General features: G+C 54.7%; 1 protein-coding gene across 10 annotated transcripts in view, besides 4 other annotated features; it reads right to left on the minus strand.

Moving 5' to 3' along the window:
- The window catches only part of PACSIN2 (protein kinase C and casein kinase substrate in neurons 2), a 145,384-nt gene that overhangs the window by 7,303 nt on the left and 123,449 nt on the right, over positions 1 to 14,632 (minus strand). For 7 of the 10 annotated variants that reach the window (NM_001349968.1, NM_001349972.1, NM_001349973.1 and 4 more), the window contains 6 exons: positions 13,879 to 14,114; positions 11,575 to 11,730; positions 7,318 to 7,493; positions 5,116 to 5,236; positions 3,549 to 3,554; positions 1,980 to 2,101 (listed from right to left, as the gene is read on the minus strand). In NM_001349968.1, the coding sequence (NP_001336897.1) occupies positions 1,980 to 2,101; positions 3,549 to 3,554; positions 5,116 to 5,236; positions 7,318 to 7,493; positions 11,575 to 11,730; positions 13,879 to 14,114 (817 nt within the window). The remainder of the gene's footprint in view (positions 1 to 1,979; positions 2,102 to 3,548; positions 3,555 to 5,115; positions 5,237 to 7,317; positions 7,494 to 11,574; positions 11,731 to 13,878; positions 14,115 to 14,632) is intronic. The other 3 variants (NM_001184971.1, NM_007229.3, NM_001184970.3) reach the window with 1 other exon arrangement.
- Positions 4,226 to 4,800: an enhancer, noted in NCBI's record as "H3K27ac-H3K4me1 hESC enhancer chr22:43277300-43277874 (GRCh37/hg19 assembly coordinates)". NCBI's record gives its function as "activates a minimal SCP1, AML or CMV promoter by ChIP-STARR-seq in primed H9 embryonic stem cells {active_cell/tissue: H9 hESC(primed)}" and the evidence as "EXISTENCE:reporter gene assay evidence [ECO:0000049][PMID:30033119]".
- Positions 4,801 to 5,375: an enhancer, noted in NCBI's record as "H3K27ac-H3K4me1 hESC enhancer chr22:43277875-43278449 (GRCh37/hg19 assembly coordinates)". NCBI's record gives its function as "activates a minimal SCP1, AML or CMV promoter by ChIP-STARR-seq in naive H9 embryonic stem cells {active_cell/tissue: H9 hESC(naive)}" and the evidence as "EXISTENCE:reporter gene assay evidence [ECO:0000049][PMID:30033119]".
- Positions 5,376 to 5,949: an enhancer, noted in NCBI's record as "H3K27ac-H3K4me1 hESC enhancer chr22:43278450-43279023 (GRCh37/hg19 assembly coordinates)". NCBI's record gives its function as "activates a minimal SCP1, AML or CMV promoter by ChIP-STARR-seq in naive H9 embryonic stem cells {active_cell/tissue: H9 hESC(naive)}" and the evidence as "EXISTENCE:reporter gene assay evidence [ECO:0000049][PMID:30033119]".
- Positions 12,718 to 12,777: an enhancer, noted in NCBI's record as "active region_19178". NCBI's record gives its function as "activates an Ori minimal core promoter by ATAC-STARR-seq in GM12878 lymphoblastoid cells {active_cell/tissue: GM12878}" and the evidence as "EXISTENCE:reporter gene assay evidence [ECO:0000049][PMID:35858748]".

Here is a 14,632-nt window from a genome sequence, read left to right on the forward strand (position 1 = left end):
GGCAACTCCTAGCTGCAGGATCTCAAGAGACAAATCAGCTCCTCCTGTGACCGGAGGGGACCGTGGTGTTTCAACAGAAAGGTTACTATGGCAGAATGCGGGCAATACTTCAGCTGTGAAACACGGTCCAGGAGCCTAGGAGAGGACTTGGTTTCCCTTTTCCTTCCTTGCACCTGGAGACAGTCCGTCCAGAACAGGGGCCCTGGGGTGGCCCAGGGGCGGGTGACAAGCCACAGCTGGAGCAAAAGTCGTTTCCAGGTTCAGGGCTTCTCCTCTGTCCTGACTCCCACCAATGTGAGCTGGGGGGGTCAAAAAGCCCCTCAGGGTCTCCTCTGAGAGTGACAGTGTGGGAGGGGCCGGCTCCCATGGATGAGTGGGAGAGGGCTCTGAGCTCTTCAGCCCACACGGCCTCCTCCTGACTACTAAGGGGTTCAGGGCTCGCTCTTCTGCTCTGTGGAGCTGAAGCCTCCAAAATCAGGGCCAGGGCCTGCGGCACCGTCTTTTCTAGATAGAAAGAAGATTCCTTTGGTGCTCCAGAGGGAAAATCCAGTCGTGCAACTGCCTACTGTTTGCCAGGCCCAGTGTGGGAACCAGAGAGATCTGGGCCAAGCTCTGCCTGAGGGCTGGGAGCCGGGAGCTGAGTTACACACTACGAAGACCACAGGCAGACCATCAAGCAATCCAATCAGACAGGCACCAAGGGCCCTGGCACCCCACCAAGTAACTGATCCTAGGACCGGGCTACCCTGGCCAGCAGCACCTTCTACTTCCAAGACCAGGGCCTCAGGGCACAGGCCCCCAAAGCACTGGATGGACTGCTCAGCCTGAGCACCCACCACCCCAGAACCAAGGAAGGGAGGCGAGGACATGCCTCCAATGCCACCAGGGTGATCCTGAGTGGCCAGTAACTGCCTCATCCACTTCAGCCTGGCAAGTGGTACTTGACCTAGGCCTGCTGGAGGCCAATATCCAGGCCACATGTCTGAGCTCACCGGCCCTCCTCCCTCCTTGGCACCTTTCTCTAGCAGACTGTTGTGAGACGGCACTGGTGGGGGCGGCTGGATTGTGCAGCAACCCTGGCCAGCCCAGGGCCCCCAGGGTCTCCTCTGAGGCAGTGTTTCTTCTTTCCCATTCCCACCCCCAAGCATACAGGTGCTGGCCTGATCCCTGGGACAGGCACTTACTGCCGAGCCCACCTGCCCAGACAGCGTGCAAAGCAGCGGAATGACGACAGCCACACCTGCTGGGGAGCCTGGGTGGGGGCTTCAGTGCCTGGGGCTGCAGGAAGGCCAAGGGAACCTGGGCTAAGCCTTCTTAGGAAGCCCCCGTATGAAATGACTATTACTGAGTGTCACATGGAGGCCTGTGGGCAGGTCCTATAGGAAGACCTCCTCTAGCACACACTTTCCAGAAGGTTCTAATGACCACAGTGCCACCCTTATATCTCTCATTTTCAGCCAATGACTAAGTCAGAAATAACCAATGCTCCTAGTGAAGAGGTAATTTGGAAAGGAGATGCCTGGCAGTCCTCTCCTGTCCCTCCCTCGACTGGCGCCTGCACACAATACAGAGTGAGCATGAACCTCGGCAGGACCTCAGCTGCCTGAGGGAACCAGGGTGGCACCTCCACCAGTGTCCGGGCAGGGCGGTGCTATCCCTGGGGACATGAATGCCAGCCCTGTCATCAGCTCCTCCCCACTCAGGTCTGAAGCTCAGGGCCAAGCCTCCCTCTCTGGATCTGTCAGCAGCTCTGGCACCAGGCAGGAAGACGACCTTCCCTGGAGATGCCCCTGGGCCACGGCCCACAGAGCTCAGGAGCCCAGGAACCTCCCAGGTGTCCAGGCTGGGCCACGGCCCACAGAGCTCAGGAGCCCAGGAACCTCCCAGGTGTCCAGGCCGGGGCTGCCCTGGACCATGCAGATTGCCCAGGGCCCCCACCATGGAACGGCCTCTTTTGGATGGAGGTGGCGCCCACTCACCTGCTGGGCTTACTCGGCAGAGACTGGTCGCCTGTCTGGTTGATGCCCGTCAGGGTGACGCCGTCAGTGGCCTTCTTCTTCTCTCTCCGGCTGAGGGTTCGATTCAGGTCTGCGGACCACTCCTAGGCAACAGGTGCCGAGGGAGAGAAACCAAAGGTTCACTACTTGCTGGAAGCCACGTCTGTCCTCAGTTCCTGCCCAGCGAGCCTGCAGTTGGCTCTGTGCATCTGATGTGTAGACTCAGGGCCCCAGCTCTCCCTGGTTTCCCAGAAGACCTCAGGCTCCCCATGCCCCACTTATGAACCCAAACGACCTGAGCCCCTCCTCACTGTTCAAAGCAGGGGCTCATCAGGGGATCTGGAGGCTTGCACCTCTACAACCACCCCCAGGCCATGCTGCCCACCTCCCAGAGGACCAGCGGGGGTGGCGAGGACCAGGGCAAGGTCCGGGGCCTCCTGTTCCTGACCCCACCCACCAAGGTTCTCAGTCCCAGCCCCCTCAGGCCAGCATGGGCCCCTGTGGCCTCCCCAGATGTCTGCTGAGCCTCCCAAAGTAGACAGGAGCCAGCCTCTGAGGCACCTGTCCTGAAGTGCTGAAGATCCTTTGCGTCGATGCCCTAAATTGTCCCTGGGCCACAGGGTCAAGACAGTTGGCTTCGGAGACCTGAGCAAGCCTGCCATGTGGAAAGGCAGGTGCAAATAAAACCAGGTGCAAATAAAGCCACTGCAAATAAAACCAGGGCTAGGTGGCTACCCGCTGACAGAAGGGGCAGGCAAGCAGACTCTCAGTCTCCAAAGCGCAGGGCCCTCCCCAGTGTTTTGCTGCCCTGGGACTTTTCCTCTGTGATCTGAGCACATGCTGGGGCTAACGAAGCAAAGCAGAGTACGCTCCTCCTGGAAGCCTCACGAGTTCTCGGGTGGCGAACTGGCTTCACCAACCGCACTGAAAATGGACTAGGGCAAAACCATGAATGGAGACTGTGTCTTGATTTTCTAGAAGAGTCTGTGCATGCCCGCAGGTGTTTAATGAGCTCTCCTTCCCCCCATCTCCACCAGTTACCAGACAACTCTGATTAAAACTTGGTGTGGCTGAGTCCACGGCTCTGCTCACACGTACTTACAGAACTTTTGGGTTGGAAGCCAACTCAGAAGCATCCTGTCTAACCTGTCCATTTGTCAGATTAGGAAACTGAGGCCCAGAAAGGCAATGTGATTTGCCCACGCAGTGTGGGTGGCAGACTTGGGCCCGACCCCAAATCTGGGTCACCTTTTCATCTATTAATTATTTTCTGACCAAAATAGATTGACTGAGAACTCAATTGGAACCTCAGAGTTCTCCACAGTGACCTCTGAATATAAATTCATCCTGATTGGGTGGCTTCCAAAGGCCAATGGGATCAACACCAAGCCGGCACTGATGGGAAGGGCCGGCTCTCAATACCCCTGACAGCAGCGCAGCCTCAGCTGAACTGCTAGGAGCCTAGCGGGGGCAGCACACCCACCCATGCGGGCCACAGACACCCTGCATGGCGTATGGCACTCTATGAGGTAGCCGAACGCAGACACTTACTTCATCCTTGTGGCATGAAAAATAAAAACAAAGAATTGCATTAGAGAAAGGCATGGTCCCGTAACAGCTGCAAATGTGCGCAGAATGAATGCACAGGGGCTGGTTCCCAGCCCATGGACCCACAGAGAGAAGGACCCCCTAGGCTCTGGCTGGGACACCCTCCAGGAGACAGACTGTCAAATAGTCCTCCCCACTGTGCCCCTCTTTGGGTATAATGGGCACCTCTAAGGGACCCAGGCGAATTTCACAGGTGGTTTCCTGTGCCACTCCGGGAGCAGCAAATCCTCGCTGTGTCTGAAACCCCAGCTGTGCACAAAACACGTCAGCCAAGACTTCCTGGTGTGTGGCTCCAGAGGAGAGGCTGGGCTTTGTGCTGTCCCCTCTAGGGCCGCTTCCAGTCAGGACGGCTCTGGCCCTCCATGCTCTCTCAGTGCCTCTGTGGAAGGGGCACAGCTGCTCTACTGCCTCCTACTGGGAGCAAGTCCTGGGGCTGGCGCAGGGGAGTGCTCGGCAGCAGGGCCCACACTGTCATTTGGAAAAACCTTCCTGTTAAGGGCCATAAAAGAAGTGCAGGAGTAAGGACTGACAAAACTGCAGGCTATGAGGCGCCCAGGAGGTTTCTGAGTGGTGGGCCTGGGTCAATAGCCCTGCGTGGACAAAGTCACCATGTTCCCTAACAGCCCCCGACAGGAGATGGGTGCTCTTGTCATTCCCATTCCACACGTGGGAAAACTGAGTCACAAAAAGGGCGAATAGTTTGCTCAGCTTCCCACAGGTGGTCAGAGGTGAGCAGAATCTGAATGCAGCCCGGGCTCTGGCCGCTGCTGAGTCGGGGAAGCCACGAGGCCCACGCCCACAGCAGAGGTAGTCGCCCTCAGCATCCCTGCTGGGGCAGCTGACGCCACGTGCTTAAGCCTCAGGGGCACCAGGACCTTTGCCCACTGCCTTCAGGGTGCCAGGTGGGGCCTAGTGACCAATCCAAGGGCTAGGTGAGTCCTGAGATCCCCAGGCCCTTGCATTTCGAATGTAAAGATAATGAAAGCTTAGACCCACATGATGGGAAAAGAAGAACATTCATTTTGAATCAGGATTCACTGAATTTACTGCCTGGAGTAGGGAAAAGTCCTTTGTTGGAAGGGTAGGGAGGGCTGCCCACTGAGACCACCTCCCCTCCCCTGGCCCACCGTGAGGGGAGCACTGTGGCTGCTCCCTTCCTGGCCATCCCACAGGGTGGGTCAGGGACCTGAGGTCCTGTGTGCCTACGGCTCCTGAGACTGACTAGGAAGGAAGGGAATGCCAGTGGCCAAAAAGTGACAGTCAAACATTCCCAACTAGAGAGGACATAACCGCGACTTCAGGAGAGGTTCAGAAGGCCTTCGGTAATGCCTGCAGCCCCCCAGGACTCTATGCCAGAACTTGGTCTGTACTATAGCTATGCCTAAAGGCTGCCTGATAAACAGGGCAAACACTAACATAGAGTCTAGAATGAGAAAGACATCATCTAGCAACTCTGTGGGCCCAGGTCCTCTTCCAGGCTGATGAGCTCATGGGCACACCCTCCTCTTACCTCAAACTGCGGCCAGTTCATGGCCATGCCCGGCCCGTGATTGGCTCGGAACCACCTCAGGTCCTCCACTGCATCAGCTGCTCTGATGCTCTGCTCCAGGTCATGGTAAATGGCTTTGTAGCTAAATCAGAGAGAAACGTGGCTCTTTTAGAAGGCAGGGGCCAGCTACCCTTTGTCCCAGCCCAGTGCCAGCCACAGCAGGTCCCGTGGTCTCTGCCCTCTGTGAGTTGGTTTCACAGACAGAGCCAGAACACTCCTCCCTTGGCTCAGGTGGAAGGTCACGGGCCGCCACGTGCACAGATGGCTCCTGACAAATGAGCTTTAAATCAAACCAGCCAAGCAGGTGGCAATGACTAAGCCCTGCTCTGTGTCACATATGCAAAAGGCACCAGCAGGTGGGCTGTGTGGGCCACCACTCTGTGTGGTCCCATTTCACCAGGCCCAGAGTTGAGGAAGAGAAAACTGGAGGGTGTTAGAAAGTACCCCTCCTTCCTCATCTCTGTCCAGAAAAGCTTTATACCCAGACTTGCCAATGCAGAGCGTGAAGATGACCCGGTGCTGAACACACCCACCACCAAGACGGGGTGGGGGCTGCCTTCCGCCTGGCAGCCATCATCGGCTCACCTTCCTAGGAAGCTGCCCTGCCAGGGAAGAGTATGGATCACTGCTGGACCTGATATTTTCACTTATAATCTTTATGGCTGGTGAGTCATGTACTTTCTCTGGGCCTCGGTTTCCTCCTCCGTTGAGTGGGCATGATCCCCTCCATCAAGGGTTGAATTGTGTCCTTCATAGGAGACATGCTGGAGTCCAAACCCCAGTGCCTCGGAATGTGGCCTTATTTGGAAATAAGGTCTTTATAGAGGTAATCAAGCTAAAATGAGGTCACTAGCAGGGGCCCTAATCCATATGACTGGTGCCTGTATTAAAAGGGGGAAATCCAGACACAGAGACAGACAAGCATCCACACGATGGGAGTCACTCCACATGCAGAAGAGCCTGACACAGGCCAGCCTCACCCTGCTCCTGCCAGCAGAGCAGCCTCGGGCAAGTCATTTAATCTCACCCAGCCTCAGCTTCCTCATCAATAAGATGGGGTCAGTGCCACCCACTTTACAAGACTATCATAAAAATGGAATGGTGGCAGAGCAGCAGCGGTGCAGTAACTGTTGCTTTTGATGATTGTTACACAGAGGGAGACAAACGGAATGTGTCTCCTATTAACAGCAAGCCTTGACCCGTGACGCATCCCTACACGGTTCTGCTAGATGGATGACAGTAATCCACGTCCTTGACTTAGCTGGGACCTCTGCCCTGGTGAAGGCATCACAGAACCAAAGATGAGGAAAGCACAGAAGAAACAGCACAGCTTCCATATCACAATTCAGAACCAAGTCTCAGAGGGTATGTGCTGTCCTGGGGGCTGAGAGCCACTAAGCAGTCACCTGATCACAAAGGGCCTCAAAGAAAGACTGTCCCAGGCACGACCAGCCCAGAAATGCCAGATTCACCTCCAGTGGATCTTACATATGCCAGCTGCGGCCAGGTGCGGTGGCTCACGCCTGTAATCCCAGCACTTTGGAAGGCCGAGGTGGGCGGATCACAAGGTCAAGAGATCGAGACCATCCTGGACAACATGGTGAAACCCCATCTCTACTAAAAATACAGAAATTAGCTGGGTGTGGTGGCGCATGCCTGTAATCCCAGCTACTCGGGAGGCTGAGGCAGGAGAACTGCTTGAAACCAGAAGGTGGAGGAGGTTGCAGTGAACTGAGATCACGCCACTGCACTCCAGCCTGGGGACAAAGCAAGACTCCGTCTCAAAAAAAAAAAAAGAAAAGAAAAGATATGCCAGCTGCCTTGGTCCTAGCTGTGGCCCCAGAATGGGCAATCTCCATTCCCACCCAGACCTGTACATGGAGTTGGCAGAGTGGGCCCGGCCTTATCTGCTTGGGCCAGCAATTGGCCGGGTCAACCAGGCCTTCCAGAGGTCCAGCCGGCCATGCCTGCAGCTGCAGAAACACTCAGCAGAGGGGCCCTCCCTGCCATCCAGATTACAAAGAAGCAGGAGGCCCTGAGGGCGGTGAGGAGACCTCCTGATGAACGCGCCATCCCAAACCTGGGAGCAGCATCTGAGTTTGCTTCAAAAGCACTTTCCGTTGACTTCAATGACGTGTGTGTTTTAGCTCAAAGGAAACTTACCCAGCCACATTGGACAGGTCTAGGTGCTTCTGAACCTCCAGCAGAACCTCCCGGAAGAAGCGAAGGCGTTTCTCCTCGAACTGCTGGCACTGCTCAAACACCTGCTCCATGTTCTCCATGTACTGGGGTGTGCCCTGGTCGAGTTCCTTCAGGGACTTCTCATACTTCTCTTTGGTCTAAAGGAAAATCCAGGCACAAGACAGAGGTTCATTTCCATTTAGCCCTTGGCTCACCCTGCCCCTGGAGTGTCTCAGGCCTTCCCAGATTCCAAATGCAAAGAAAAAACAGGAGCTCTGGATTCTGACAGACTTCAAGTTCAAGTCCCAGTTCCTCCACTCCTGCAAGGTGAATCACACTCCTGCCATCTGCCCTGTCTCTCAGCTGGAGCAAGGCCCAGACAGGTAGATGCCGGCAAAGGGCAGTCTCCCCAGAACTCAGTGTGTATGGTCTTGAGCGTGCCACACGCCCATGTCCTCTTCTCCCTGTGGGGAAGGGCTGTGCCTGGCTACCCTCAAGCCTCAGATCTGGCCCACAGCAAAGGTGGGGCTGGGGCTGAATCCTGCAGCTCTCTTGGAGCCTCACTGTCCTTTATCAGATGAGGACATCTCTCCTTCACAGTGTTCTGATATGTACATGATGGGGTGCAGGAAGAAGGCATTCAAAAAAAGTCCTCCTTCTCTTGTCTTTCAGCCCACTCCATCCCCCTCACACAGCTGCTCCCTCCCAGATTGTCCCAAGAAGGGGTTTTACAAGGCAGGAAATGTTAAAAAGCAGGTGTGGCCTATCTCAAGAATATCCAGGGGCAGCTAGAAAACGTGTGAAATTCCTAAGACATGGCTAAAGTGGGCACATTCATCTGGTGGGGATGTGCCTCGAGGTCAATGACCTCACACTGGTACACACTTCCCCGCACCCCCTCATCTCAGCATGCAGGGCCACCAGTTTGGTGGCCAGGTGGTTTTGTTAGTTGGTGGGATCATGGTCGTGTTGTCCCCCTGGGGTGGGTGAGAGATAGCAGGGCTGGGGCCACCTATTTATTGCAATTCTTTCTACTATGGGGGTAGTCACGGGCTCCACTCAGGTCTAAGCTTTGCTGTCCCTAACAACATGTGCAGGGCCTTCTGAGGAAGGATGGAGCGCTTCCCGAGACACTGCAGGCCTATCGGGCACCCTCTCTGCCCCCAGCTGGGACTGAGTCTACCCTGCCCATGCGGCTCCCCTCCCAGATGCTCTCCTCTGACTCACGTGGCTCAGAGCCCTGGGAGACTCTGCTTCAGGCTCCAAAGCAACTCCTCTTCTTGAAGCCTTCCCCAGCCTCGTGAGACCAGGTTCCACCCCGCCCTCTAGGGCCCTGACTCCTGCCCCTTTCTCCTCTCCTGGTATCCGGGTCCTTGCTCTGCTTCTCAGCCTCCTAAGATGGCTGGGCTTGGGTCCTCTGTGCCAGGAAAAGGCCACCCCTGCCAGGGCTGGGGCATGCCCAGCAGAGAAAGAGCTCCACAGCGCTGTGGCTATTCCCCTATTCCCCACAGCCATCCACACTGCCCGTGCCCACTACCTGGCAGCCCTGCATGGGAGCCTAGCTCAGAAGCCCAAGACACATAGCTGTGGGTTCAGCGCCCAGCATCTGGAGGATACTGCTGAAGTGACACAGAGCAGCCCCATCTCAGGAGCCTTCAAGACACAATAGCCTCCCGGGAGCTCTCAGGGTACTCAGTGGCAACAAGATGCTCCACCTCTGGGCTGCCCCTGCCCTCAGCCTGTGCCGACCCTGCTAGCCCCAAGTCCTGCCCCCAGCACAGGCCAGGTACTCAGCAGGGTCATCACTGTTCTGGAAATCCCCTTGCAGGGCATAGAAAGTTCTCAGCGAACACCCATGGAGTAAAACAAGAGGCGGCCTTCACCCTTAGGTGGATTGTAATATTTTAGCACTAAATGCAAAAAGTTCTTTTATGATGGATGCTACAAGATGTAGTTGATGGCTGATAAGAAACATGAAAGTACATGTGCAACCAGTCAGCAATGGTATGTATGTAGGTAGGTAGGTAGGTAGGTAGGTAGGTAGGTAGGTATGTATGTACCTACCTACTTACCTACTTTAGAGATGAGGTCTCACTCTGTCACCCAGGCTGGAGTGCAGTGGTGTGACCACAGCTTGCAGCAGCCTTGAACTCCTGGGCTCAAGCAATCCTCCCGCCTCAGCCTCCAAAGTAGCTGGGACTACAGGCACGTGCTACCACACCCAACTAAGTTTTTAAATTTTTTGTAGAGATGAGGTCTCACTATGTTTCCCAGGCTGTGTGCTGGATTTTGGAAACTGCGTCAAGAAGGGTGGTGGGGAGGGACTGGCCTCCTCTCCAGAGCTCTAGGCACACAAGGACCTCTCATATCCTGCAGTCACTGGCCAGACCAAAGAGGCAGGGAGGGTCCCAGGAGGGAACCCACTACAAACTGTCCCAGTCATCCTGCCAGGCGCTTATGTCCAACCTCGAGCCCTGGGCCTGTTCTGCAAAAGCCTGAGTTGATGTTCTGGGTGGCTGTCAAACATGAAAGGCCTCTTCCTCTCCATCTCTGTCTCCCTTTCTCTCACACAGGCACGCCCCCGCCCAACATGGAGAAGCCCCATCTTTCCTCTAGGCACCTTTTTGGGCACCTGATTCCCTGGGATTCTGGCAAAGGCCCGAGAGTTCTCCCGGACCTTGTGCTTCTTGAGCCCAGGTGCCTCCCACTCAGTAGTTGGTTCCAGGCTCCTCACCTGATCCCACCGTGGAGGCACCTGGGCTGCTTCAAAAGCCCAGATTCCTGGCTCCAGCAATGGGAGTGAGAGGGGTTTCCCAGAGGATTCTGACACTTGGTCTGAGTGACGAACTCTCGTGTAGATGACGTGTTCCCCTTGCTACACCGACGGCATAGCAGTGAGGAACAGTGGAGAAAGGGCATATGTATGGGCTTGAGGTCAGAAGTTCCTGCTCTCACCTGCTGGATGGCACGTGACTTAACCTCTCTGATCTTGGTTTCCTCATTCACAAAACAGGGATGCCACCACCTAACTGACAGGGGCCAGGAAAGGCTGGTGGGTAGTGAAACCAGCTTAGGCCTCTTGCCTCCCCTCTGCCCATGTCCTCTTCCTGGAGTGCAGCCTCTCTCTACCTCATTCCGTCTCTCTCTGCAAATCCTGGTTGGGAATCTCCTCTCCAAACACCGAGGCAGGGCAGGCCCTCGGCAATCACACCCCCCAGCCCTCACCCCTCATGGCTGACCAAAGGAGGGGAGGTGGGGCCGAGGGCTGAGCCCCTCCCTTCCTGTGAACTTTTAAATCACAAGACGATGACGCTGTCTGGTTTTAAGTCCTGTGACTCCAGGACCTTCCAGGCAGAATCACTTATCTACACCTGCGGAGCATGTAATAGTTTACACAATGATTTCTCATTAACCCATGGGGCAGAAAATCTCCGCTTCACAACAGAAATGGAAGGGCACCCATGATGCCACAGTGCCTGGTCACGGTCTCTCCTTGGCCAAAGACCACCCTTCTGCCACCCCTGGCTCCACAGCCTCTGCCTCACTTTCGGGGCCTGTCACTGTGGAGACTGCAGGGCCCCTCCATCCTCCCTCCCACCTGGCTCCCCCAGACAAGCGCTCCCAGCCTGCAGTCCCTCCCCCAGGTCTCTGCCCCCAGCCCCTCTCCCTACACAAGCAGAGCAATCCTTCTAAACCATCTCACCCTCCTCACCTCCTCCCTGATCCCACCCAGGCTCAGGCCTTCCTGAGTGGCTCCTGGTCAGCAGCATCCTAAGCTCCTTACTCAGCCTGGCTGTCCAGGCCACTGGTGATTTGGTCCTCATAACCCTCCATACCAGCTCACACCACACCCATTCACACCCACCACTGGCCACAACCATTCACACCTGCCACCAGCCACACCCATTCACACCCACCACTGGCGACGCCCATGTTGGCACAAGCAGCTCCCTGCAGCAATCCCAGCTGTCCTTGTGTCTCTGAGCACCAAGAGCTGTCTCTTACCCCTGGCTTGCCCAGAGCCTGGCTCTGTCCCTTGACTGAGCAGGTACAGTGGCTATGGTGAGGCGAGGTGCTAGGGCACTCACCTGTGGCCTTCTTGAGGACAGGGGTGTGTTTTATTGGTTATTTATCCCTCTATCCACCCATTCACCCAAGCAGTTACAGAAGGCTATATGCCAGACACGTCAACAACTGACACGGTGACACTCGACGTGTAAAAACAAGTGTACAGTTTACCTTAAGAACATCTTGCTTGCACTTTTCTATTTTGTCTTGCAATTTCTTGAGCTGTTCAGGGTTGAGGGATGGGTCTGCCTTGCTGTTGGCTTCTCGTGAGATAGCCAGCTTCTCCTCTTTGCACGCTGCATGGTGGGCTTTCTTTGCTGCTTCTACCTACAGGGAGAATGAGTTCCTGAATGCCATGTCACTGGGAGTTCAGGATCCTCACTAGAAGTCACACAGACCATGGGAATGCTTGTGCTACCAAGAGGGGAGAAAAAGGCAGGTACAAAATTGTATGTATACTATCATAGCAACCAGTCACAACAGGAACGCACTCAACACATATTCATGGAGTACTTGCTTGTCCTGTGCATGGTTCGAGGCACCAGGAACACAGCAAGAAACACAAGGTCTTTGTGAAGCTTTCATTTGAGTTGCAGGAGGCAGATACAGTATAGGAAAAGTTACATGCCAGAGTCAATTAGAGGGCATTAAGTGTAGGGGAGGACAACTGAGACGGAGCATGGGGTGGGTGGAGAAAGCCACTGAGATGACATGGAACACGCACATGGAGCACGCACATGGAACACGCACATGGAGGGGTTATGGGCATCCCAGGAAGACCATGCCAGGCCGCAGGATCGGCAAATACAAAGAAAGTTCCAAGGAGGAACCCAGCATGAGAGAGAGGACCATACTAGGGGGCAGGGCCATCAGCCACATTTCCTCTGGTTTTAATGGTTTTTACACACACACACACACACACACACACTCTTAACAGATCCTTCCTTATTTGAGCCAAAGCCACAAATTTCATTCTAGAGGGAAGGAGGAGTTTATTAGCAAAGGCCTCATGAGACACAGACAGTTTCATTATGAATGGGGCCAGGGACAAAACAGAAGAGAAAGGAGATGTGACAAAAGCTAAGACACAGAGAAAAGGAGACACAGAGAAAACCATCCGGAAGGACAGAGGCATGTTCTGGATGATTCTGAGGCGGAGGAAGGCAGCGCAAGGCCAGAGAACATCTGGGTGTTGGGGGTGGCACATCTACCGTCTACTCCATTCCAGCTAGGAATGGGGGGCGAGGCTGCAGGCAGGGGCGGGGCACACAAGCTGAGGGCTGGGGTGGACAGATGACAGCCTCCAACTAGCCAAGGCTCGACAAAACTCAATGGCTTTGGTTGCTACTTTTAGAAAAACAGGTATCAATGTTTGAAATTTTGGGATAAAAACCTATGCAAGAGAAAGAAAAATGTAAACTAGTTCTTTCTATCGTCAAAGGGACTTGAAAAAAAAATAAAGTGAAAGCAAGTTTATTGAGAAAGTAAAGGAATAAAGAAAGGCTACTGCACACGCAGAGCAGCCAAAGGGACTTTTTTTTTTTTTTTTGAGACAGAGTCTCCCTCTGTCACCAGGCTGGAGTGCAGTGGCGTGATCTCAGCTCACTGCAACTTCCACCTCCTGGGTTCAAGTGATTCTCCTCCCTCAGCCTCCTGAGTAGCTGGAACTACAGGTGCCCGCCACCACGCCCTGCTAATTTTTGTACTTTTAGTAGAGATGGGGTTTCATCATGTTGGCCAGGATGGTCTCAATCTCCTGACCTCGTGATCCGCCTGCCTCAGCCTCCCAAAGTGCTGGGATTACAGGCGTGAGCCACCGCGCCCGGCAAGGACTTTTAAGTCTCCAGCAGACACTTCCCCAGGGTTGGGAGAAGTACTGTTAGTGGTTAAGAGCTTGGGCTTTGAGCTCTACCACCAATGTATGGTTCTGATCCTCAGTTACCAAATCTGTAAAATGTGTTGGTAGGATCAAATTTAAAGAATGCCCTGTAATTCCAGCACTTTGGGAGGCCAAGGTGGGTGGATCACCTGAGGTCAAGAGTTCGAGACCAGCCTGGCCAACATGGTGAAACCCCGTCTCTACTAAAAATACAAAAATTAGCAGGGTGTGGTGGCATGTGCCGGTAGTCCCAGCTACTCGGAGGGCTGAGGCAGAATTGCTTGAACCCAGGAGGCACAGGTTGCAGTGAGCTGAGATTGCACCACTGCACTCCAGCCTGGGAGAGAGAGTGAGACTTTGTCTCAAAAAATAAAAATAAAAAATTTAAAGAATGCACATAGAGCATTCAGCATCTTCAACCTGGGTAAATGTCAACTACCATGGGCTTCTAGCCTGAGGAGTGGCTTCATCTCTACCAGGTCTGGCCTCCTGTGCCTACAGCCAGTGGCAGGAAGTCCTAGGTGCAGGAGGTGGTGCTGCTAGTGGGGTGCCAGGCAGAGCAAGGCCGGGCAGGGAAGCCTGCAGGACAGATGTACCTCTTTCAGCTTCTTGGCCCAGGGCTTCTGTGCCTTCCGAAAGCCGTCCTCAGCTTCCTTGGTCTCCTTGAAGCCGCCCATCATCTGCTTGTGAAAGGCTTCCTTCTGCCAGTTCTTGATCTTCTCGAAGTCATCGTTCATCAGTGAGGCCTTCACCTCGAGGTGCAGCTCGCTCACCCTCTCTGCCTCGGACATGAAGGCCATCCAGGCCTTCTCCACGGTCCCGTACTGGGGCCCTGTGCAGGGGAGAGAAGCTGCGGGTCACTCAGCGCCGGCCATGGTGGGGTCTGCTCTGCTCACACCTCGGCTGTTCAATGTGGCCATTTAGACCACAGAGGGTTTCCTTTCAGGGTTTCAGATATTTTTCTCTCAGGGACTCTGTGCCTTTTTCAGTTCCCAAAGCTGAATTTGCTCTGCCCCTCGTGTTAGGAAAATTGGGGGATTACATGCCTTTCCTTTATTTTTATTTTTGGGATGGAGTTTCGCTCTTATTGTCCCGGCTGGAGTGCAGAGACGTGATCTTGGCTCACTGCAAACTCTGTCTCCCAGGTTCAAGAGATTCTCCTGCCTCAGCCTCCCGAGTAGCTGGGATTACAGGTGCCCGCCACCACGCCTGGCTAAATTTTTGTATTTTTAGTAGAGACGGGGTTTCACCATGTTGGCCAGGCTGGCTGATCTCGAACTCCTGACCTCAGGTGATCCATTCGCCTCGGCCTCCCAAAGTGCAGGGATTACAGGCGTGAGCCACCGCGCC

Source organism: Homo sapiens, chromosome 22 (assembly GCF_000001405.40).
Source record: "Homo sapiens chromosome 22, GRCh38.p14 Primary Assembly".
NCBI classification, from domain to species: domain Eukaryota; kingdom Metazoa; phylum Chordata; class Mammalia; order Primates; family Hominidae; genus Homo; species Homo sapiens.